The 26,983-nt window shown below is 37.9% G+C and overlaps 1 protein-coding gene across 7 annotated transcripts in view, besides 1 other annotated feature; it reads right to left on the bottom strand.

Annotated features, from left to right (window-relative positions):
• Positions 1–26,983, bottom strand: part of VAMP7 (vesicle associated membrane protein 7) — a 62,425-nt gene that overhangs the window by 20,627 nt on the left and 14,815 nt on the right. For 5 of the 7 annotated variants that reach the window (NR_033714.2, NR_033715.2, XM_017029760.2 and 2 more), the window contains 3 exons: positions 24,894–25,031; positions 22,556–22,646; positions 3,263–3,330 (listed from right to left, as the gene is read on the bottom strand). Coding sequence is in view for 5 of the 7 variants with exons in the window: in XM_017029760.2 (XP_016885249.1) it covers positions 3,263–3,330; positions 22,556–22,646; positions 24,894–25,031 (297 nt within the window). In the remaining 2 variants the exon portion in view is untranslated. The remainder of the gene's footprint in view (positions 1–3,262; positions 3,331–22,555; positions 22,647–24,893; positions 25,032–26,983) is intronic. The other 2 variants (XM_011531188.2, NM_001185183.2) reach the window with 1 other exon arrangement.
• Positions 14,778–15,329: an enhancer, noted in NCBI's record as "H3K27ac hESC enhancer chrX:155137478-155138029 (GRCh37/hg19 assembly coordinates)". NCBI's record gives its function as "activates a minimal SCP1, AML or CMV promoter by ChIP-STARR-seq in primed H9 embryonic stem cells {active_cell/tissue: H9 hESC(primed)}" and the evidence as "EXISTENCE:reporter gene assay evidence [ECO:0000049][PMID:30033119]".

The following is a 26,983-nucleotide window of genomic DNA, read 5'->3' as shown; positions in this document are numbered from 1 at the left end:
CATGTGTAAATAAAAATATGTCAACAATAGCATAAAGGCCAAGAAGAAACAGCTAGAAGTATACTATTATAAGGTTCTTATCTATTCATGAAGTGGAAAAATGCCACTTTAAGGGAGATTATAAATCAAAGACATACTGTAAACCCTAAAGCAATCAGAAAATGACAGAATGGAGCTATAGCTAATAAACTGACAAAGGAGACATAATGGAATAACAAATGTACTAAATCCAATGGAAGGCAGAACAAAAAGGGAACAAAGACTAGATGGTATAAATAGGAAACAAACAGCAAGATGGCAGATTTTAAATTTTCCAACGAAGAAAACTCGAGGCCCAATCTGCTTTACTAGTAAATTCTTCCAAACATCTAAGACAGATAATACCAATAGTACCCAAACTCAGAAGATAGAGAGGTAAGATTTCCCAACTTGTTTAATGAGGCCAGCATATTCCTGATACCAAAACCTAAAGAGAAAAATAAATTACAGACCACTATCTCTTATAAACATAGATGCCAAATTCCTGAACAAAACAATAGCAAATCCAATAAAGTGTTATATAAGAAGGGTAGTAAGTCATGACCTTGCAGGAATGCAAAGTTGGTTTAACACTGAAAAATCAATGTAATTTGCCATACTAACTGAATAAAGGAGAAAAACCAAAGATCTCAATAAATGGAGAAAAAGCATTTGATAAAATCATGAATACAACTCTCAAATGAGGAATTAAAGGGAATTCTTCCACCTATTAAAGGGTACCTACAAAAAATCTACAGTTAACCACAAACTTAACACTGAATTTATTTTTTTCAAAAAGTATTGAATTTTTCCCCACAAGATGGTCAATAGGCAAGGATGTTCACTGTTATCACTTGTATTCAGTATTGTGTAGAAGGTTCTAGCCAGAATAAGGGAAGGAAAATAAAAGGCAGGAATGTACAAAACAGTAACCAGAACTGGTAAATGAATTTTTCTAAGGTTGCAGAATACAAACAAGGTCAATATACAATAACCAACTTTATTTCCATATACTAGCAATAAAGAATTAGAAACAAAATTTAAAAATTTGTTACACAATACAAAAGCATGATATTCTCAAGGGTAAATTTAACAAATATGTGCAAGACCTGTACACCAAAAACTAAAAAATACTGCTGAGAAAAATTTTTAAATCCTAAGCAAAAGCAGAGATATGTCACGTTCATGGACCGAAAAACTCTATACTGTCAAGATACCAATGTCCCCTAAAGTGACCTATATATTAAATGCAGTCACAAAGATACACATTGTTGTGGGGTCAAGAGATGGAAAACAAGCTTATTCTAAAACATATATGGAAATGCAAAGCACCTAAAAGAGTGAAGACAATATTGGACAACAAGAATATAGTTGGAAGACTTACACTACTTAATTTCAAGAATTCTATTAAGTTATACTAATCAACACAGTGTGGTACTGGCATAAAGGTAGACAAACTGACCAATGGAACAAAATAGAGAATCCAGAAATAAAGCCCCACAGAGAAGAACGGATAAACAAATTGTGGTAGATTTGTATAATGGAATAATATAAAACAATAAAAAAGAATAAGTGATTACTATAATAAAAAACGTGGATGAATTTCACAGGCATAACAGTGAGTGAAAGAGGCCAGACACAAATAAATTTTAAGAACAGGCAAAACACTATCTGTGGTGATATAAGTCAGAAACATAATTACGTCTATTGGGGATTATTAACTGGAAGGGGTATGAGGCAGCCTTCTGGGGTGTTGGTAATGTTTTCTATCTAGATCTGGGTGGTGGTTACATGGGTATAGATATATATAAAAAATAATTGAGCTATACACTTAAAAGTTGTACACTTGATACAATTTGCTGCACGTATGTTATTCTACCATAAAGAGAGATACCTGTTAGTTCATTAGTACCTTCTGTTTTCAGTCATGAAGTCAACAAAATTAAGACTTTTATTTGTAAAGTACAGATCATACTACTATTGGTCAAAGACAGACCATTCCCCCTAAGCAGGGTAATCCTCAAGAATTAAGAATAACTAAGAGACAGCCTGGAAGTATCAAAGAAATTGGTCTGCAGATCTGGAATCAGATACTTCTCTGTTTTCTTTGCTCCCCAGCAATGGGTCACAAAGTGAGATCTAGAACCCAGGTGTTTTGACTTCCTGTATGGTAGCATCCTTCCTCCACCTACCACATGCTTTGATGAAAAAACTGTTTATAAACTCCTAGAAAACCTGATAGTAGACTGTATATACTAAAACCTGCTGCTAATAGATGTCCCTGTAAAATTAACAATAATGATGAACATTTAAATAGCTCTTACTATGTATCAAATACTGTGTTAGGCACTTTACATGCATTATCTGATTTAATCCTTAAAATGCTCTGAAGTGGGTACATCTTCATTTTACAGAAGATGATGACTGAGGCACAAAGAGGTTAAGTCATTTGCCTAAGGTCACACAACTAGTAAGTAGCAGAGGTGGGATTCAAATCCAGGCAACCTGATACTAGAGCCTGTGTTCTTAACCACTACAATCCAGCTGTCAGTCACAACGAACATAATCAATCACTGTTTTCTTTCAAGGTGTAAACCTGCACTGTACATTTACATTTATAATTGTGTAGACCCAAATTGTAGCTGATCTCTGCCCTCCTTCTGTTCACCATATATCTGTCATCTTTCCTTAAAACTTTCATCCACAGTAACTGCATTGAAAATGTGAGGACATACGGAACCATAGTATAAGCAGCTCACAAGGACACATTGTCTCCTTTAAGGCTTATTGGCGCTTTCCAATCGATGTCTCTTGATTGATACAAGGCAAGATGAAACTATCAGTGTAAGCAAAAAAGTGAATTGTCCAGTTTTCAAGATTCATACTGGGTCACAAACGGCTTGCACATTTGTTTCATGTTTTACAAATTTGTAAAGGGAACAGACTGTTACATGCAGTTGAGGTGCTAAATTATATAGGCCTCAATCCAAAGCTTTAGAAAATTGTTTCTGTATACTGAGTATGTTTTCCAAACCAAAGCTACCTTAATGGCTATTAGGGGATGATGTTTCTTTTCTATGCCTCATTGTTATCCTCATTATTACAAAGTAATCACATAATGGAAATGAGAAAGAAAAAAAAACCACCAAATATTTGAATTTAAGGTATTTCCCAATTATGTTAGCCATCATCCATAGTTTCTCCACTTTACATCAGACTCCATATTATCAGATTCCATACTTACAGAATCCACAAGATTTTCTGTTTTGTCAATCAATAATTCCAATCTTTCTCCTCGCTGAGCTACCAGATCTGAAAATATTGGAAAAGTAGAAAAGGTCAAGTTTTCCATTGTAGAATAAAATAAACTTTTTTTAAAAAAGTAATATAACTTAATGAATACACTGTCCTGGGGCCAAAGGACAGGCATGCTTCACCCACTGGTGACACCACTCGAAAACAAGGACTAGCCCACCTGAAATCCCCATGCCCATCAAAACTTCACCACAGCCTCCATAACAACTACACCCTAAGCCACTAAGAAAAATACAGACATGGTTGATGATGCTGTTTATAGCTGAAGAAATTATACAGACTACACTACTGAATGTACCCATAATCAAAGTCTAAGTGCCCTGCCCAACCAACACCATAGATATATCCTCAAGAAAAAGTCCTTGCATATTAAAGCAAATCTAAAAATTGGAAGAAGTGACCATAGAAATACTATTAACAACTATATGCTAATAAACTTGAAAACCCAGAAGAAATGGATAAATCCCAGGACACATGCAACCTACCAAGACTGAATCAGAAAGAAATAGAAAACCTGAACAAGCCAGTAATGAGTAATGGGATTGAATCAGTAATAAAGTATAATCAGTAATAAAGTCTCCCAACAAAACCAAAACAATGCCCAGAATCAGCTGGCTTCACTGGAGAACTCCATGAAACTTACAGAGAAGAACTAATATCACTTCTCAAACTATGCCAAAAAATTCAAGAGGAGGGAATTCTCCCTACTCATTCTATAAGGCCAGCATTACCCTGATACCAAAACCTGATAAGGACTCAACAAAAAAACAAAACTGCAGGCCAACAACCCTGATGATCACAGATGCAAAAATCCTCAACGAAATACTAGCAAACCAAATCAAACATCACATCAAAAAGATAATACACCATGATCAAGTGGGATTTATCCCAGGGATGCAATGATGATTCAATGCATGCAAATCAATAAACATGAAACATTCCATCAATAGAATAGAGAATAAAAGCCACATGATCACCTTAATAGATGCAGAGAAAGCATCTGATAAAAAAAGCATTTGATAAAATTCAACATCTCAGGGTGGTTGGCAAGATGACCGAATAGGAACAGCTCTGGTCTGCAGCTCCCAGTGAAATCAATGCAGAAGGTGGGTAATTTCTGCATTTCCAACTGAGGTACCCGGCTCATCTCATTGGGACTGGTTAGACAGTGGGTGCAGCCCACGGAGGGTGAGCCGAAGCAGGGTGGGGCGTTGCCTCATCCAGGAAGCACAAGGGGTCGGGGAACTCCCTCCCCTAACCAAGGGAAGCCTTGAGGGACCGTGCCGTGAGGAATGGTGCACTCTGGCCCAGATACTATGCTTTTCCCACAGTCTTCGCAATCTGCAGACCAGGAGATTCCCTTGGGTGCCTATGCCACCAGGGACCTGGGTTTCAAGCACAAAACTGGGCGGCCATTTGGGCAGACACCGAGCTAGCTGCAGGAGTTTTTTTTTCATACCCCAGTGGCGCCTGGAATGCCAGTGAGACATAACTGTTCACTCGCCTGGAAAGGGGCTGAAGCCAGGGAGGCAAGTGGTCTAGCTCAGTATATTCCACCCCCACGGAGCCCAGCAGGCTAAGATCCACTGGCTTGAAATTCTCATTGCCAGCACAACAGTCTGAAGTCGACCTGGGACACTCGAGCTTGGTGGAGGGAGGGGCGTCTGCCATTACTGAGGCTTGAGTAGGCAGTTTTCCCCTCACTGTGTAAACAGAGTGGCCAGGAAGTTTGAACCGGGGAGAGCCCACCGCAGCTCCGCAAAGTCCCTGTAGCCAGACTGCCTCTCTAGATTCCTCCTCTCTGGGCAGCGCATCTCTGAAAGAAAGGCAGCAGCCCCAGCCAGAGGCTTATAGATAAAACTCCCATCTCCTTGGGACCGAGCACCTGGGGGAAGGGGTGGCTGTGGACTCAGTTTCAGCAGACTTAAACGTTCCTGCCTGCCAGTTCGGAAGAGAGCAGCGGCAATCCCAGCACAGTGCTCAAGCTCTGCTAAAGTATAGACTGCCTCCTCAAGTGGGTCCCTGAGCTCCATGCCTCCTGACTGGAAGATACCTCCCAGCAGGAGTCGACAGACATCTCATACAGGAGAGCTCTGGCTGGCATCTGGCAGGTGCCCCTCTGGGACGAAGCTTCCAGAGGAAGGAACAGGCAGCAATCTTTGCTGTTCTGCAGCCTCCGCTGGTGATACCCAGGCAAACTGGGTCTGGAGTGGACCTCCAACAAACTCCAGCAGACCTGCAGCAGAGAGGCCTGTTAGAAGGAAAACTAACAAACAGAAAGGAATAGCATCAACATCAACAAAAAGGATGTCCACATAGAAACCCCATCCAAAGGTCACCAACATCAAAGACCAAAGGTAGATAAATCCATGAAGATGAGGAAAAACCAGTGCAAAAAGGCTGAAAATTCCAAGAGAACAAACTGGACGGAGAATGAGTTTGACAAATTGACAGAAGCAGGCTTCAGAAGGTGGATAATAACAAACTCCTCCAAGCTAAAGGAGAATGTTCTAACCCCATGCAAGGAAACTAAGGACCTTGAAAAAAGGTTAGAGGAATTGCTAACTAGAATAGCCAGTTTAGAGAAGAACATAAATGACCTGATGGGACTGAAAAACACGGCACGAGAACTTTGTGAAGCATACAAAAGTATCAATAGCCGAACTGATCAGGTGGAAGAAAGGATATCAGAGATTGTAGATCAACTTAATGAAATAAAGTGTGAAGACAAGATTAGAGAAAAAATAATGAAAAGGAATGAACAAAGGCTCCAAGACATATGGGACTATATGAAAAGACCAAACCTATGTTTGATTGGTGTGCTTGAAAGTGACAGGGAGAACAGAACCAAGTTGGAAAACATTCTTTAGGATATTAACCAGGAGAACTTCCCCAACCTAGCAAGATAGGTCAACATTCAAATTTGGGAAATACAGAGAACACCACAAAGATACTCCTCGAGAAGAGCAACTCCAAGACACATAATCGTCAGATTCACCAAGGATGAAATGCAGGAAAAAATGTTAAGGGCAGCCAGAGAGAAAGGTCAGGCTACCCACAAAGGGAAGCCCATCAGACTAACAGCAGATCTCTCGACAGAAACCCTACAAGCCAGAAGAGACTGGGGGCGAATATTCAACATTCTTAAAGAAAAGAATTTTCAACCCAGAATTTCATATCCAACCAAACTAAGCTTTATAAGTGAAGGAGAAATAAAATCCTTTACAGACATGCAAATGCTGAGAGATTTTGTCACCACCAGGCCTGCCTTACAAGAGGTCCTGAAGGAAGCACTAAATATGGAAAGGAAAAACCAGTACCAGCCACTGCAAAAACATATCAAACTGTAAAGACCATCAACACTATGAAGAAACTATATCGACTAACAAGCAAAATAACCAACTAGCATTATAATCACAGGATCAAATTCACACATAACAATATTAACCTTAAATGTAAATGGGGTAAATGCCCCAAATAAAAGACACAGACTGGCAAATTGAATAAAGAATCAAGACCCACCCATGTGCTGCATTCAGGAGACCCATCTCATGTGCAAAGACACACACAGGCTCAAAATAAAGGGATAGAGGATTATTTACTAAGCAAATGGAAAGCAAAAAAAAGCAGTGGCTGCAATCCTAGTCTCTGATAAAACAGACTTTAAACCAACAAAGATCAAAAAAGACAAAAAAGGGCATTACATAATGGTAAAGGGATCAATGCAACAAGAAGAGCTAACTATCCTAAATATATATGCACCCAATACAGGAGCACCCAGATTCATAAAGCAAGTTCTTACAGACCTACAAAGAGACTCAGACTCCCACACAATAATAGTAGGAGACTTTAACACCCACTGTCAATATTAGATTGAGACAGAATATTAACAAGGATATTCAGGACTTGAACTCAGCTCTGGACCAAGAGGACCTAATAGACATCTACAGTACTCTCCAAGCCAAATCAACAGAATATACATTCTTCTCAGCACCACATTGCACTTATTCTAAAGTTGATCACATAATTGGAAGTAAAACACTCCTCAGCAAATGCAAAAAATGGAAATCGTAACCAACAGTCTCTCAGACCACAGTGCCATCAAATTAGAACTCAGGATTAAGAAACTCACTCAAAACTGCACAACTACATGGAAAATGAACAACCTGTTCCTGAATGACTACTGGGTAAATAACAAAATTAAGGCAGAAATAAATAAGTTTTTTGAAACCAATGAGAATAAAGACACAACGTACCAGAATCTCTGGGACACAGCTAAAGCAGTATTTAGAGGGAAATTTATAGCACTAAATGCCCACAGCAAAAAGTGGGAAAGATTTAAAGTCAACACCCTAACATCACAATTAAAAGAACTAGAGAAGCAAGAGCAAACAAATTCAAAGGTAGCAGAAGACAAGAAATAACTAAGATCAGAGCAGAACTGAAGGAGAAAGAGACATGAAAAACCCTTCAAAAAGAATCAATGAATCCAGGAGCTGGTTTTTTGAAAAGATTAACAAAATTGATAGACTGCTAGCGAGACTAATAAAGGAGAAAAGAGAGAAGAATCAAATAGAAACAATAAAAAATGATAAAGGGGGTATCACCACTGATCCCACAGAAATACAAACTACCATCAGAGAATACTATAAACACCTCTATGCAAGTAAACTAGAAAATCTGGAAGAAATGGATAAATTCCTGGACACATACACCCTCCCAAGACTGAACCAGGAAGAAGTCAAATCCCTGAATACAACAATAACAAGTTCTGAACTTGAGGCAGTAATTAATAGCCTACCAAACAAAAAAGGTCCAGGACCAGAAGGATTCACAGCTGAATTCCACCAGAGGTATAAAGAGGAGCTGGTACCATTCCTTCTGAAACTATTCCAAACAACAGAAGAAGAGGGACTCCTCCCTAACTCATTTTATGAGGCCAGCATCATCCTGATACCAAAGCCTGGCAGAGACACAACCAAAAAGGAAAATTTCAGGCCAATATCCCTGATGAACACTGATGCGAAAATCCTCAATAAAATACTGGCAAATCGAACCCATCAGCACATCAAAAAGCTTATCCACCACGATCAGGTCAGCTTCATCACTGGGATGCAAGACTGGTTCAACATACGCAAATCAATAAACGTAATCCATCACAGAAAAAGAACCAATGACAAAAACCACATGATTATCTCAATAGATGCAGAAAAGGCCTTCGATAAAATTCAACACCGCTTTATGCTAAAAACTCTCAATAAACTAGGTATTGATGGAATGCATCTCAAAATAATAAGAACTATTTATGACAAACCCACATCCAATATCATACTGAATGGGCAAAAGCTGGAAGTATTCCCTTTGAAAACCAGCACAAGACAAGGATGCCCTCCCTCACCACTCCTATTCAACATAGTATTGGAAGTTCTGTCCAGGGCAATCAGGCAAGAGAAAGAAATAAAGGGTATTCAAATAGGAAGAGAGGAAGTCAAATTGTCTCTCTTTGCAGATGACATGATTGTATATTTAGAAAACCCCATTGTCTCAGCCCAAAATCTCCTTAAGCTGATAAGCAACTTCAGCAAAGTATCAGAATGCAAAATCAATGTGCAAAAATCACAAGCATTCCTATACACCAATAAAAGACAAACAGAGAGCCAAATCATGAGTGAACTCCCATTCACAATTGCTACAAAGAGAATAAAATACCTAGAAATACAACTTACAGGGGATGTGAAGGACCTCTTCAAGGAGAATGACAAACCACTGCTCAAGGAAATAAGAGAGGACACAAATGAATGGAAAAACATTCCATGCTCATGGATAGGAAGAATATGGCCAAACTGCCCAAAGTAATTTATAGATTCAATGCTATCCCCATCCAGCTACCATTGACTTTCTTCACAGAATTAGAAAAACACTACTTTAAATTTCATTTGGAACCAAAAAAGAGCCCACATAGCCAAGACAATCCTAAGCAAGAAGAACAAAGCTGGAGACATCACGCTACCTGACTTCAAATTATACTACAAGGCTACAGTAACCAAAACAGCATGGTATTGGTACCAAAACAGATACATAGACCAATGGAACAGAACAGAGGCCTCAGAAATAACGCTACACATCTACAACCATCTGATCTTTGACAAACCTGACAAAAACAAGCAATGGGGAAAGGATTCCCTATTTAATAAATGGTGTTGGGAAAACTGGCTAGCCATATTCAGAAAACTGAAACTGGCCCCCTTCCTTACACCTTATACAAAAATTAACTCAAGATGGATTAAAGACTTAAACATAAGACTTAAAACCATAAAATCCCTAGAAGAAAACCTGGGCAATACCATTCAGGACATAGGTATGGGCAAAGATTTCATGACTAAAACACCAAAAGCAATGGCAACAAAAGCCAAAATTGACAAATGGGATCTAATTAAAGCAAAGAGCTTCTGCACAGCAAAAGAAACTATCATCAGAGTGAACAGGCAACCTACAGAATGGGAAAAAATTTTTGCAATCTATCCATCTGACAAAGGGCTAATATCCGGAATCTACAAGGAACTTAAACAAATTTACAAGAAAAAAACAACCCCATCAAAAAGTGTGTGAAGGATATGAAAAGACACTTCTCAAAAGAAGACATTTATGTGGCCAATAAACATATGAAAAAAAAGCTCATCATCACGGGTCATTAGAGAAATGCAAATCAAAACCATAATGAGATATCCTCTCACACCAGTAAGAATGGCGACCATTAAATGGCAATCATTAACAAGTCAGGAAAGAACAGATGCTGGAGAGGATGTGGAGCAATAGGAATGCTTTTACACTGTTGGTGGAAGTGTAAATTAGTTCAACCATTGTCAAAGACAGTGTGGCGATTCCTCAAGGATCTAGAACCAGAAATACCATTTGACCCAGCAATCCCATTATTGGGTATATACCCAAAGGATTATAAATCATTTTACTATAAAGACACATGCACACGTATGTTTATTGCAGCACTGTTCACAATAGCAAAGACTTGGAACCAACCCAAATGCCCAACAATGATAGACTGGATAAAGAAAATGTGGCACATATACACGATGGAATACTATGCAGCCATAAAAAAGGAGGAGTTCATGTCCTTTGCAGGGACATGGATGAAGCTGGAAACCATCATTCTCAGCAAGGTAAGAAAGGAACAGAAAACCAAACACCACGTGTTCTCACTCATAAGTGGGAGTTGAACAATGAGAACACATGGACACAGGGAGGGGAACATCACACACTGGGGCCTGTTGGGGGTAGGGGGGCTAGGGGAGAAATAGCATTAGGAGAAATACCTAATGTAGATGATGGGTTAATGGGTGCAGCAAACCACCATGGCATGTGTATACCTATGTAACAAAGCTGCACATTCTGCACATGTATCCCAGAATTTAAAGTATAATAATAAAAAAAGAGCAAATGTGTAACATAGAAATTGCAATGGGTCAGGTTGAAATATTTCCATTTTCATCCATAATTTTAGCAGTATGATGACATAGCTCAAAAGGAAAATAGGATATTCTACTTTTATATATTCAAATAAAAATATATAGTTCAAGGTATCAAAAAAAATTCAACATCTCTTCATGATAAAAACTCTCAAAAAACTAGGCATAGAAGGAATATCCCTCAACATGATAAAGGCCATTTATGACAAACCCACAGCTAACATCATACGGAATGGGAAAAACGAAAAGCCTTTCCTCTAAGAAATGGAAAACTCTCACCACTCCTATTCAACATAGTACTGGAAGGAAGCCCAGTTTCACTACTCCTATTCAACACAATACTGGAAGTCCTAGCCAGAGCAATCAGGCAAGAGAAAGAAATAAAGGGCATCCAAATTGAAAAAGAGGATGTCAAATTATCCCTCTTTGCAGATGATATGATCTTATGTCTAAAAGACCCAAAGACTCCACCAAAAAACTCCTAGATCTGATAAATATATTCAGTAAAGTTGCAGGATACAGAATCAACATACAAATATCTGTAATGTTTCTATGCATCAATAATCAACTTGGTGAAATAAAACTTTATGAAATCAAGAAGGTAATCCCATTTATAATAGTTATGAACATATAAAATATTGAAGAATAAATTTAACGAGTAGGTGAAAGACTCCTACAAGTAAAACTACAAAACACTGATGAAAAAAACTGAAGATGACACAAAGATACAGAAAGACATCTTATGGTCATGGATCATAAGAATGTATATTATTAAAATGACCATAAGCCCAAAGCAATCTACAGATTCAATGCAATCTCTATCGAAGTACCAATGTCATTTTTCACAGAAACAGAAAAAACAATCCTAAAATTAGTATTTCAGGAACCAAAAAAGAGTCCAAATAGCCAAAGCAATCCTGAGCAAAATGAACAAAGCTGGAGGCATCACACTACCTGACTTCAAAACATATTACAAGGCTACAGTAACCAAAACAGCATGGTTTGGTATAAAAACAGACACAAGGTCGATGGAATAGAATAGAAAAGCCAGACATTGATCCACGTATGTACAGCCACACATATATAGGCAACTGATTTTCAACAAAGGTGCCAAGGACGTACACTGGGGAAAGGACACTTTCTTCAATAAATGGTATTGGGAAAACTGGATATCCATATGTGGAAGAATTAAACTGGACCTCTGTCTCTCATCACATACAAAAATCAACCAAGATAGATTAAAGACTTAAATTTCAGACCCAGAACTATAAACCTACTAGAAGAAAACATAGGGGAAACACTTCAGAACACTGCTCTAGGAAAAGATTTTATGGCTAACACCTCAAAAGGACAGGTAACGAAAAGAAAAATAGACAAATAGGACTATATTAAACAAAAAAGCTTTTGCACAGCAAAGGAAATAATCAAGAGTGAAGAGACAACCAGTTGAATGGGAGAAAATAGTTGCAAACTATTCATTTGATAAGGGAATAATATCCAGAATATATAATGAACTCAACAGGAGATATACAAATAATCCCCTTAAAAAGTGGGCAGAGGACATGAATAGCCATTTCTCAAAAGAAGACATACAAATGGCCAAAAGGTATATGAAAAAATGCTCAACATCATAGAAATGCAAATAAAAGCCAAAATGAGATATCATGTTACCCCAGTTAGAATGGTTACTAAAAAGATACAAAATAACAGATGCTGGCTAGTATAAGGAAAAAAAAAAAAAACACTTACACACTGTTGGTGGGAAAGTAAACTAGTGCAGCTACTATGGAAACCAGTGTGGAGATTTCCCCAAAAACTAAAAATTAAACTACCATATGATCCAGCAATCCTACTACTGGGTATTTATGCAAAGGAAAAGAAATCAGTGTATAGACGGGATATCTGCACTTGCATATTTATTGCATCCCTATTCACAATAGCAAAGATATGGAGTCAACCTAAGTGTCCATGAATGGATGAATGGATAAAGAAAATGTGGTTTATAAACACAATGGAATACTATTTGACCATGAAATAGAATGAAGTCATGCCATTTACAGCAACATGGATGTAACTGGAGGTTATTATGTTAAGTGATATAAGGCAGGCATGGAAAGACAAATATCACATGTTCTTACTCACATGTGGGAACTAAAACAGTTGATCTCATGGAGGTAGACAATAGCACAATAGATACCAGAGGCTAGGAAGGGTGTGGGTATGTGGGGCCGAGCAGGGAATATGAGAGGATGGTTAATAGGTACAAACACACAGTTGGATAGAAGGAATAAGTTCTAATGTTTGATAGCAGAGTAGGGTGACTAAAGTTAACAATAGTGTATTATATATTTCAAAATAGCTAGAAGAGAGAATTTGAAATGTTCCCATCACACAGAAATAAATTCTTGAGCTGATGGACACCCCATATATCCTGACTTGATCATTACACAGTCTTTGCATGTAACAAAATATCACACGTACCCCATAAATGTGTACAAATATTATGTATCAATTAAATAAAAGACACTAGACAGCTAGCTCTCTTTTCCTTGCCTGATGGGAGAACAGAGAGAGAAGATGCTGTCTGCAAGCCAGGAAGAGAGCCCTTACCAGAACCTGACCATACTGGCACCGTGATCTTGGACTTCTAGCCTCCAGAAATGTGAGAAAATAAATTTCTGTTGTTTAAGTCACTACGTCTATGGAATTTTGTTATGGCAGCCTGAGCTAAGACAAATGATCTCAAATTAACAACCTAACAACTTAACTTTCTACCTTATGGATCTAGAAAAGAAGGGTAAACTAAATCTAAAGCTAGCAGTGGGAAGGAAATAAATATTAGGGTGAACAAATTAAATAGAGAACAGAAAAACTATAGAAAAAAAATCTATGAAACCAGAAGTTGGTTCTTTAGAAAGATCAATAAAATTGACAAACCTTTACGTAGAATGACCAAGTAAAACAGAAAAAACTTACATTACTAAAATCAGAAATGAAAGAGGAGACATCACCACCAAACTTACAAAATGAAGAGGATCTTAGGGGAATTCTATAAACAGGAGTGTGTAAATAAATTAGGTAACTTAGATGAAATGCACAAATTCCTAGAAAGATACAAACTGCTAAACAGACTCAAGAAGAAATAAAAAATCTGAATAGCTACAGCAAGCATAGAGACTAAATCAGTAATTTTAAAACTTCAGGCCGGGCATGGAGGCTCATGCCTGTAATCCTAGCACTTTGGTAGGCTGAGGCAAGTGGATCGCTTGAGCCCAGGAGTTTGAGACTAGCCTGGGCAACATGGCAAGACCTTGTCTCTACAAAAAAACCAAAAAACAAAAATTAGCCAGGTGTGGTGGCACATGCCTGCAGTCCCAGCTGCTTGGGAGGCTGAGGTGGGAAGATTACCTGAGCCCAGGAGGTCAAGGCTGCAGGTAACCCTCCCACCAAGGGAATGAAAGAGGAATTAGAGAGGATCATGTCACTGCACTCCAGCCTGGGTGACAGACAGACCCCATCTCAAAAAACAAAAACAAAAACAAAAAAGCTTCACACAAAGAAAAGCCCAAGCCCAGGTGGCTTCAAAGGTGAATTCTACCAAACATTTCAAGAATTAATACAAAACTTTCACAAATCTTTCCAAAATAGAAGAAAAGGGGAACACTTCTTGACTCATTCTATGAGCCCAGCATTACCCTGGTATCAAAACCAAAGACATCACAAGAAAAGAAAATGGCTCTCCCTCTCCCTCTCCCCCTCCCCCTCTCACTCTCCCCACGGTCTCCCTCTCCCTCTCTTTCCACGGTCTCCCTCTGATGCCCAGCCGAAGCTGGACTGTACTACTGCTATCTCGGCTCACTGCAACCTCCCTGCCTGATTCTCCTGCCTCAGCCTGCCGAGTGCTGCCACGCCTGACTGGTTTTCGTATTTTTTTGGTGGAGACGGGGTTTCGCTGTGTTGGCCGGGCTGGTCTCCAGCTGCTAACCGCGAGTGATCCGCCAGCCTCGGCCTCCCGAGGTGCCGGGATTGCAGACGGAGTCTCGTTCACTCAGTGCTCAATGGTGCCCAGGCTGGAGTGCAGTGGCGCGATCTCGGCTCGCTGCAACCTCCACCTCCCAGCCGCCTGCCTTGGCCTCCCAAAGTGCCGAGATTGCAGCCTCTGCCCAGCCGCCACCCCGTCTGGGAAGTGAGGAGCGTCTCTGCCTGGGCACCCATCGTCTGGGATGTGAGGAGCCCCTCTGCCTGGCTGCCCAGTCTGGAAAGTGAGGAGCGTCTCTGCCCGGCCGCCATCCCATCTAGGAAGTGAGGAGCGTCTCTGCCCAGCCGCCATCCCATCTAGGAAGTGAGGAGCGTCTCTGCCCGGCCGCCCATCGTCTGAGATGTGGGGAGCGCCTCTGCCCCGCCGCCCCTTCTGGGAGGTGAGGAGCGTCGCTGCCCGGCCGCCCTGTCTGAGAAGTGAGGAGACCCTCCACCCGGCAGCCGCCCCGTCTGCGAAGTGAGGAGCCCCTCCGCCCAGCAGCCGCCCCGTCTGGGAGGTGTACCCAATAGCTCATTGAGAACGGGCCATGATGACAATGGCGGTTTTGTGGAATAGAAAAGGGGGAAAGGTGGGGAAAAGATTGAGAAATCGGATGGTTGCTGTGTCTGTGAAGAAAGAAGTAGACATGGGAGACTTTTCATTTTGTTCTGTACTAAGAAAAATTCTTCTGCCTTGGGATCCTGTTGATCTATGACCTTACCCCCAACCCTGTGCTCTCTGAAACATGTGCTGTGTCCACTCAGGGTTAAATGGATTAAGGGCGGTGCAAGATGTGCTTTGTTAAACAGATGCTTGAAGGCAGCATGCTCGTTAAGAGTCATCACCACTCCCTAATCTCAAGTACCCAGGGACACAAACACTGTGGAAGGCCGCAGGGTCCTCTGCCTAGGAAAACCAGAGACCTTTGTTCACTTGTTTATCTGCTGATCTTCCCTCCACTATTGTCCCATGACCCTGCCAAATCCCCGTCTGTGAGAAACACCCAAGAATGATCAATAAAAAAAAATAATAAAATAAATAAATAAATAAAAGAAAATGATATACCAACAACTCTTAAAAATACAGACATTTAACAAATCCTCAACAGACTACTGGCAGGATGAATCCAATAATATGCAAAAAGGACTATACACCATGATGCAGTGGGATTCATTTCAGAAACACAAGGTTGATTTAATATCTGAAAATCAATTGTTATAATACATCATATTAATAAAGAACAAAAACCATCATTTCAATAGATGTAAAAAAAATTGACAAAATCCAACACTGTTTAATGATAAAACCACTCAACAAATAAGAAAAAGAAACTTCCTCAACCTGATAAAGGACATCTATGAAAAACCCACAGCTAACCTCATACTTAATTGTGGAAGATTCTTCAAGATCTCCCTAAGAGCAGGAATAAGACAATGATGTCCACTCTTACCACTTCTATTCAACATTATACTGGAGGTTCTAGCTAGGGCAAATAAGCAATAAAAAGAAATGAAAAGCATCCAGACTGAAAAGGAAGAATTAAAACTATCTCTATTTGCAAGTAGCATGATTCTATATAGAGAAAATCCTAAGGAAACTATTAAAAAGCTATTAGAACTAATAAAGGAGAACAAGGTTGTATGATACAACACCAATTTATAAAAATCAATAAAATTTCTATACATTAGTACTGAACAATCCGAAAATGAAAGAGAAAAATTCCATTTACAATAGCATAAAAAAATACTTAGGAACAAGGCAAGAAGGATGTTAGAAGAGATATTGTTAAAGAAAAATTATTCTGACACTGGTTAAAAAATGGTAAGGCAGATTTTGAGATTACTGCAATAGGGGTCAAGGCTATCACAATGGAGGGGAGAGATTGAGCTCAACTCCTAACACAACCAAGACCAGTGGGGATTTGTGGCCAATGAACAGAGTGAGGGGGTCAGAGGATGGAAAATTACTAAGAGGAGGCATCAAGGGCAAGGGGATTCTCTCTAAACTGGCCTAACAGGATTCCTGCTAAAAGCTGGCCGGACTTATATAACAAATATAGGGGACAAGGAACTTGATCAAGGGTGGGGTATTAGCAGGATTCTTTGCTAAGACTTCCTTAGGCAGGCCAAGGACAGAGCCCGAGGATGAGACCTAGTTTAACAGAGTGCTCAGAGGAGCTTGTCTAAAATTTGGTGAAGCAGAGTCTTTGTCATGTAAGACTTGCACACTGAAAACTACAAAACATTGTTGGAAAAAATTAAAGAAACCTAAATGAATAGAAAGAAAGCCCATGTTCATGGATCAGAAGTTTAATATTGTTAAAATGGCTCCCTAATTGATCTACAGATTCAACACAATCCCTATCAAAATCCCAGATAGCTTTTTTTGCTATCTGAAATTGACAAGCTCATCCTAAAGTTCATGAAAATGAAAGGTACCCAGAATAGTCAAAGCAATTTTGAGAAAGAATAAAGTTGGAAGATGAATATTTCCTGATTTTAAAACCTACTACAAAGCTATAATAATCATGACAGCCTGGTACTGGCATAAAGATAAACTGAACAGAACTGAAGGTCCAGAAACAAAGCTATACATCCATTGATAACTAATTTTTGATAAGAATGCTAAGATCATTCAACAGGGAAAGAAAAGCCTTTTCAGCAAATGGTTCTGGAACAACTGTATATACATATTCAACAGAATTAAGTTGGATCTCTTCTTTATTCCATACATAAACATTAACTCAAAATAGATCATAGATAGAAATGTAAGAGCTAAAACTAGTCTTAGAAGAAAACAAAGTAGTAAATCTTCATGATCTTGGCTTAGGCGACAGTTTCTTAGATATGTTATTCAAAGCACAAACTAAAGAAAAAAATAAATTGGACTTCATAAAAACTGTTGTGCTTCAAAGAACACCATCAAGAAAATGAAAAGACAACTCACAGAATAGAGCAAAATATTTGAAAATCATGTATCTGATAAGGGTCTAGTATCCAGAATATATAAAGTACTGTTATAGCTCAACCATAAAAAGACAAATAACCCACTTAAAAACAATAAAGTATTTTTAAATAGACATTTCTCCAAAGGTAAAGAAAATATACGAATGGCCTATAAGCACATGAAAAAATGCTCAACATCATTAGTCATCAGGGAAATGCAAATCAAAATCACAATAAAGTACCATTTCACTAGACTGGGTATAATCAAAAAAGATAAGTTTTGGCAAGGATGTGGAGGAATCAGAATCCTCATACATTGCTATTAGGAATGTATAAAGGTGCAGTCACTTTAGGAAAGTTTGGCCCTTCTTCAAAATGTTACAAAGTTGCCATGTGATCCAGCAATTCTATTCCTAGGTATGTAAGCAAGAGAACCAAAAACATATATATATATATATAATATATAATATATATATATGCTCACACAAAAACTTGTACACAAATGTTCATAGCAGCATTATTTATAATAACCAGACCATGAACTAATGAGTAGATACATAAAATGCATTAATGCATTGGAATTATTAGTCATAAAAAAGAATTAAGTATTGATTTATGCTACGACATGAATGAATCTCACAATCATTACGCTAAGTGAACGAAGACACAAAAGGCCACATATTACAAGATTCCATTTATACGAAATGTCCAGAATAGGCAAATTTATGAAGAAGAAAAGGGAATTAATTGTTGCTTAGGTCTGAGAGTTGAGGAGCAACTGCAAATGAGTACAGGGCTTCATTTAGGGATGATAAAAATGTTACAAAATTGATCGCAGCAATGGTTGTACAATTCTGTGAATATAGTAACCACTGACTGTATACTTTAAATGGGTGAATTATATGATATGTGAATTATATTTCAATTAAGCTGTTAAAAAAATGAAAGGGAATTAACTAGGAATGTTCTTGTCACATTTTAAATTTGCTTTTTTTATTTTATTTTATTATTATTATACTTTAAGTTTTAGGGTACATGTGCACAATGTGCAGGTTTGTTACATATGTATACATGTGCCATGCTGGTGTGCTGCACCCATTAACTCGTCATTTAGCATTAGGTATATCTCCTAAAGCTATCCTTCCCCCTCCCCCCACCCCACAACAGTCCCCAGAGTGTGATGTTCCCCTTCCTGTGTCCATGTGTTCTCATTGTTCAATTCTCACCTATGAGTGAGAACATGCGGTGTTTGGTTTTTTGTTCTTGCGATAGTTTACTGAGAATGAGGATTTCCAATTTCATCCATGTCCCTACAAAGGACATGAACTCATCATTTTTTATGGCTGCATAGTATTCCATGGTGTATATGTGCCACATTTTCTTAATCCAGTCTATCATTGTTGGACATTTGGGTTGGTTCCAAGTCTTTGCTATTGTGAATACTGCCGCTATAAACATACGTGTGCATGTGTCTTTATAGCGGCATGATTTATAGTCCTTGGGTATATACCCAGTAATGGGATGGCTGGGTCAAATGGTATTTCTAGTTCTAGATCCCTGAGGAATCGCCACACTGACTTCCACAAGGGTTGAACTAGTTTACAGTCCGACCAACTGTGTAAAAGTGTTCCTATTTCTCCACATCCTCTCCAGTAACTGTTGTTTCCTGACTTTTTAATGACTGCCATTCTAACTGGTGTGAGATGGTATCACATTGTGGTTTTGATTTGCATTTCTCTGATGGCCAGTGATGGTGAGCATTTTTTCATGTGTTTTTTGGCTGCATAAATGTCTTCTTTTGAGAAGTGTCTGTTCATGTCCTTCGCCCACTTTTTGATGGGGTTGTTTGTTTTTTTCTTGTAAATTTGTTTGAGTTCATTGTAGATTCTGGATATTAGCTCTTTGTCAGATGAGTAGGTTGTGAAAATTTTCTCCTATTTTGTAGGTTGTCTGTTCACTCTGATAGTAGTTTCTTTTGCTGTGCAGAAGCTCTTTAGTTTAATTAGATCGCATTTGTCAATTTTGGCTTTTGTTGCCATTGCTTTTGGTGTTTTAGACATGAAGTCCTTGCCCATGCCTATGTCCTGAATGGTAATGCCTAGGTTTTCTTCTACGGTTTTTATGGTTTTAGGTCTAAATGATAAAGGGGATATCACCACCGATCCCACAGAAATACAAACTACAATCAGAGAATACTACAAACACCTCTACGCAAATAAACTAGAAAATCTAGAAGAAATGGATAAATTCCTCGACACATACACCCTCCCAAGACTAAACCAGGAAGAAGTTGAATCTCTGAATAGACCAATAACAGGCTCTGAAATTGTGGCAATAATCAATAGCTTACCAACCGAAAAGAGTCCAGGACCAGATGGATTCACAGCAGAATTCTACCAGAGGTACAAGGAGGAACTGGTACCATTCCTTCTGAAACTATTCCAATCAATAGAAAAAGAGGGAGTCCTCCCTAACTCATTTTATGAAGCCAGCATCATCCTGATACCAAAGCCGGGCAGAGACACAACCAAAAAAGAGAATTTTAGACCAATATCCTTGATGAACATTGATGCAAAAATCCTCAATAAAATACTGGCAAACCGAATCCAGCAGCACATCAAAAAGCTTATCCACCATGATCAAGTGGGCTTCATCCCTGGGATGCAAGGCTGGTTCAGTATACGCAAATCAATAAATGTAATCCAGCATATAAACGGAACCAAAGACAAAAACCACATGATTATCTCAATAGATGCAGAAAAGGCCTTTGACAAAATTCAACAACCCTTCATGCTAAAAACTCTCAATAAATTAGGTATTGATGGGATGTATCTCAAAATAATAAGAGCTATCTATGACAAACCCACAGCCAATATCATACTGAATGGGCAAAAACTGGAAGCATTCCCTTTGAAAACTGGCACAAGACAGGGATGCCCTCTCTCACCACTCCTATTCAACATAGTGTTGGAAGTTCTGGCCAGGGCAATCAGGCAGGAGAAGGAAATAAAGGGTATTCAATTAGGAAAAGAGGAAGTCAAATTGTCCCTATTTGCAGATGACATGATTGTATATCTAGAAAACCCCATTGTCTCAGCCCAAAATCCCCTTAAGCTGATAAGCAACTTCAGCAAAGTCTCAGGATACAAAATCAATGTACAAAAATCACAAGCATTCTTATACACCAATAACGGACAGAGAGTCAAATCATGAGTGAACTCCCATTCACAGTTGCTTCAAAGAGAATAAAATACCTAGGAATCCAACTTACAAGGGATGTGAAGGACCACTTCAAGGAGAACTACAAACCACTGCTCAGTGAAATAAAAGAGGATACAAAGAAATGGAAGAACATTCCATGTTCATGGGTAGGAAGAATCAATATCATGAAAATGGCCATACTGCCCAAGGTAATTTATAGATTCAATGCCATCCCCATCAAGCTACCAATGACTTTCTTCACAGAATTGGAAGAAACTACTTTAAAGTTCATATGGAACCAAAAAAGAGCCCGCATCACCAAGTCCATCCTATGCCAAAAGAACAAAGCTGGAGGCATCATGCTACCTGACTTCAAACTATACTACAAGGCTATAGTAACCAAAACAGCATGGTACTGGTACCAAAACAGAGATATAGATCAATGGAACAGAACAGAGCCCTCAGAAATAACGCCACATATCTACAACCATCTGATCTTTGACAAACCTAAGAAAAACAAGCAATGGGGAAAGGATTCCCTATTTAATAAATGGTGCTGGGAAAACTGGCTAGCCATATGTAGAAAGCTGAAACTGGATCCCTTCCTTATACCTTATACAAAAATTAATTCAAGATGGATTAAATTTGCTGTTTCTATAACTCTAAAAATAAATAAGTCATTTAAAAGGAGTCGATTAAAAACGTTGATTTTTCTGGAAACTTTATGCATCTGCAATAAATAATATTGTAGCAATTGTCTGCCTCCACTTTCGGGCAAAATAAATACATTTGGTGACAAAAAAAAGAATAAAAATAAATAGTAGTTGTCTCAACAGATTCTCTAGTCTCTATCTAGATATATAATTAAAACTAAAATCAATTAAAGGAAATCACTTTAAATAGCCAAGACGTACATATCAAGAACCACGAAAACGTTTGCGCATTTTGATTATTAATCCCATTCCTGATAATTAATCTCAAGAAAATAAGAAAAACATAATAGGCACAAAAATATAACAGTATGGTTACTACTGTAGGATAAACTTCTAAATCAGTCCTACTTAAGAGTATTTGCAACTGGTTGACTAAGTCTCTAAGCATACTGTTCAGTCCAATTGACATTTTCATAGCAAGAGGGCCTCAGTGAAGGAAGCACAATATTGATTGACATTCTTCAGCAAGCTCCTTATCTGGTTGCAAAACAGCACTCTAACACTGTGCTAAAGAACCTATGCGTCCAAAATTCAGGCAAGGTTAGGTAACCCGTGATACATTAACTCAGTGAAATACTGTACAATCACACTGACCAAATTATTCTAAACTGCTGAATTATCATAAGGTTCTTAGAAATTAGTCTTGTTAAGCAAACTAGTAAATTTAGAATGAAGAATAGTTGCAAGGACAAAGAAGAAACCATTTGCACAAGCAGACAGTATCACAGTTGTCTCAGCTGACAATTAACTTCCAATGGTAAGAATAAGGAAGTGCTATTTTGGCTTCTCTAGAATAATTTGACCCCAGTCAAGTAATCTTTATCATTTTTGCCCACATGCATGAAACTATGCCATGAAACATACCTATGTTTCTGACCATGATTCCTTTCAGTTCATCCACTTGGGCTTGAGTCTCCATCACTTTGTCTAGGCCCTTATTCTCAGAGTGATGCTTCTATAAGAAAATAAGTTTTAACTTATGGTACCTAGACATTATTTACAATAGGAAAACAAAAATAAGGGGAATGACAATTTACACTGAGGAATGCTATAAAATTATGTCTCTATTGATATAAAAGATACATGTCACTTCACTGGAAAAATGTTACAATACCCAGGAAAAAATATGGGCAGCATAAAAAATGCTTCTATACAAACTATAAGTATGTAGTCTAAAAATTACCTTATTTTAAATAAAATAAAAATAAACATTATATCAAATATACATGTGACTTGTGGGGCAGAGATTGGGGGGGATATATAATCTGTGCTCAGACAAGGAAGAAAGGAGAAAAAGAAGACTGTAGTTGGGGCAGTGGGGGAAAGAATGCTGCAAAATTGTTCCCCACTTCTTGAGTATGATGAGGTAGGGGCTGGCCCAGCTTCTCAGAATCTGTTCTTGTATCTGCCAGGATCACAGCATATAAACTATTTTTATTGGCTTCTCACAGGATCTAGAATCTAAGACACTGATAATATATAGTTTGAAATTATTTATCCATAGCTAGCAATTATGGGGTGCTTAATACACAATGTTCCAGTCATTTCATTGTGTTAAGTGCTTCAAACGGGATATTATTTAATCCACCCCAAAACTCTATGAAACGATGCTATTATCTCTATTTACAGACAAAGGAACAGGTAGAGATTTTGTTCAGAAGGTCACACAGATCTAGAGCTAATGACAAATTGGTTAATTTGAAAGTTTTGTTTCTAGCTGACCCTTTACTTTTGACTAAGTACTGGTATTTTTGTTGTGGGTAGTGTTTTACACAGTTTTACACAGATGAACATTTCCTAGTGGGGAGTATGAAACAAACCAACTGCTTGAATAATAAAGGTTTATAAGTAACCAATTTAAAGGGACTTTATTGCCAGAAGAGTATGTGTGTGCGTGTGTGTGTGTGTGCATAAAATTTAGAAATGTAATACTCAGAGTATTAAAACCACAGGAGAAGTGAAAGTATTCCATTACAATACAGCTTTTTTTTAAACTCACAACAAAATCATAGCTAGAGCTTACGTCTTTATACTCAAATAGTTTCATGGATAAAAGGGAAGCATTTCGAAAGGTGTCTGACATCATGAAAACATAAATTAAAACCACAATGAGATACCATTACACATCAACTGGAATGGCAAAACTTAAGACCACATCAAGTACTGGCAAGGACGCAGAGACACTGGAACTGCTGGTGAGAATATAAAATGGTACAACCACTTTGGAAAAAAAAGTGGTGATTTTTTTTTTTCAATTACACATCACCTACCATATGACCCAGCAATTCCATTCCTAGGTATTTATCAGAGAGAAATAAAAACATATGTCCACACAAAGACTTATACATGGAGGTTAACAGCAGCTTTATTCATGATAGCTGAAAACTGGAAGCAACCCAAATATCCAGCAACAGGTGGATGGATAAACAAATTGTGGTATATGCATATACTACTACTTAGCAAAAAGGGGAACAAACTACTGATTTATACAACATGGAAGAATATCAAGAGCCTTACACTGACTGAAACAAGCAAGACACAAAAAAGTACATACTGTATGATTCCATTTACAGAAAGTTTACATACTGTATGATTCTATTTACAGAAAGTTCTATGAAAGACAAAACTAATTTATAGTGATAGAAAACAGATCCGTGGTTGCCTGGGGCAAAGTGTAGGGGAGGGGACCAACTGGTAAGGGATATGAGGGAACTTTTAGGGTGATTAAAATGCTGTCTTAAGTACAGTGGTATTTCACAGGTATATTCACATGTAAAACCTCACTAAGCTGACAATTAGGGATTCATACAGATGAGGAGAGTTTCAAATTATTAATTTGGGTTGTTAGAAAATTAAATTTCCCTCATGGAAGGGTAGAAGGTTTACGTATAGTTTAAAAGATCATTTGGCATGCTGAACACATTTAAGCATCAGATGGGTAGTTCAACTAGATGATCTTTAATGCTCTTCCAATCATGAGACACTGTGACCACTATTAATAGAGATAATAAAGACTATCACTGTTTTCTACCCTAAAATGGCCCCTTTACATTTTTTTTTTAATCAGGGAAGTTTTATTATGTTGGCTTACAGTAACACAATCAGAAAACTATATTGCAGGTCAGGGCCCCCTAGATTCATAGTGTTTGAAGGTAATGAAGAAGATATAAATCAAAATACCTTATCCTGAGAAAGATCTTACCAGCTGTGCAGCTAAGACACTTGAGAACTCGCTATTCATGGCATATGGAAGTGCTGTCTGTGCTCTTGAACCGTAAGTAGTCTGGAACCTCTTCTTTATCTCATTCAGAAAATTAAAGGCTCGGGAACGTTCAAAATCCTGAAAAGAGATCAACACAGAACTCACATTTAGAAAGTAAACAAAGATGATGTGAGTGATTAAGAACAACAATAAAAAACAGCTAACATTTACTGAGCAATGATTATCTGAGGAGGAACTAGCATTGATCCTATCTTAAAGATAAGTAAAGGAAGGCTCTGAAAAAGTAACTAACTTGTCCAAAGGTCCAACAACTAGTAAATGAAAGAGCTGAGAATGAATCCAGATATATCTGGTCATTGACAACTGAAGATAATGATACCTAGGTTATCAACTTCTTGACATCAGGAATTGAATTTTACTTCCTCCATATATTTCATAAGATCTATTAGAAGGCCCAGCACAAGAATATGTTTAATAAATCCCATAATAATCATAGAGTCTTTCACACATACAGATACTACTACTGATATTAACTTCAAATCGAATTTTTTCAATAGTGGTGGTATATTTGAAAAGATCAAGTGACATACTCATGTCTAATCCCAGCCAGCCAAAAAGTATGTGTGTTCTCTGTAAGAATACCTTAGAGGAAAAAAATGAATGTGTGTATGTGTGTTTATGTATACATGTATATGTGTGTATCAAATTATAGCTCAAGAAATATGAGGCTCGACTCTAACTATCCCAGATTTCATTAGTATTTTCCTTCTATTCCAAGCTGTTTCACATCAGTCATTTCACATATAGCTAGATTTTTTCGTACTTTTGGAAAATATTGTGAAGCCAGAGATAAAAATCATTGTGATGATCACTATGGTTGACAGTCATTTCCCTTTCACCCAAGATGCTTAGTCTAAGCCAAGGGTTCTTAAATTGGGGTCAATGGTCCAAATTCAAGGGGCCTTTGAACTTGGATAGAAAAAAAGAAAATCACATCATTATTTTTATCAATCGTTAACTTATATTTCAATTGTGAATATAGGTTGTATATTCATAATCGGGGTAGTATTAAACAGTACCTGTAACTGTCACCAACAGAAATCTTTTTTTGTATACCATCACAGTTACAGATATCTCAAAATACTGTCAACACCCATCACATCAAGACTATTAGTTATTAGACCTATGACTAGATCTTGTTAATGAGTTCATAAAGAAGCATATATATTACTACATCAAGTTTTTAAAATATTTTGAATACTATATATATATATATTTCAATATAATTGGCTTTGTTAGAATTGTGTGTGTTTTATACATTTAAAAGCATTCTGGAAAAGGAAAATTAAAAAAAGAAAACAAAAACATTCTGGGAGTGTCCCACAAGTGACGAGTCTGTGATACAATAAAGATTAGGAACCCTGATCTATGGCAACCATGCCAATTCCAAGTCTCTTTGCCAGTAGGCAGTTTAGAAATGAGCATGCAGCCAATAAGACATGAAAGGAAGTTCACTTTGAAAGCAGGGGGAGGGGAGGGCATGCAGCTGGGAAAAGCTTCCTCATTCCTACAATAAGACACTCAAGAAGACACAGTCCCTCTACTCCGGACATGAATAAATAAGTATGTAGCTCTACGAAACCATAATGGCAACCTGTCTGGGAAGAAGGAGACACGGAGATAAGCAGAGAAGAGAAAGGACCTTAATGACATCATTAAGTTACTGAGAATTTTGGGCTGAGAGCCGACAAACAGTCATACCTAACCAATGTAAACTACAGGTTTATATAGCTGATCATAATGTATTGTAATTTTGTTTTTCCAAAGTTCACATACATTAAAGGATTCATTAACTACTGATAGAAGAAATGATGCTATCTAATTTAACATTCCACGTAAACAATTTTTGAGAGGTTTTGATATCAAAGAATTATAATTATGAACATCAATTCTCACTACAAAATAGAATAAATATAGAAGTTGCAAGAGGCTAAGCTAAAACTCTACCAAAATTGAGTTGATTTGCACATACCCCAGTATCAAGTTTTCTTAACATTTGCTGCTCTATA

The sequence above is a fragment of the Homo sapiens genome, chromosome X, assembly GCF_000001405.40.
Source record: "Homo sapiens chromosome X, GRCh38.p14 Primary Assembly".
Classification (NCBI taxonomy): Eukaryota; Metazoa; Chordata; class Mammalia; order Primates; family Hominidae; genus Homo; species Homo sapiens.
Note: the sequence above shows the minus strand (reverse complement) of the source record. Positions and strands in the feature narration are given on the sequence as shown.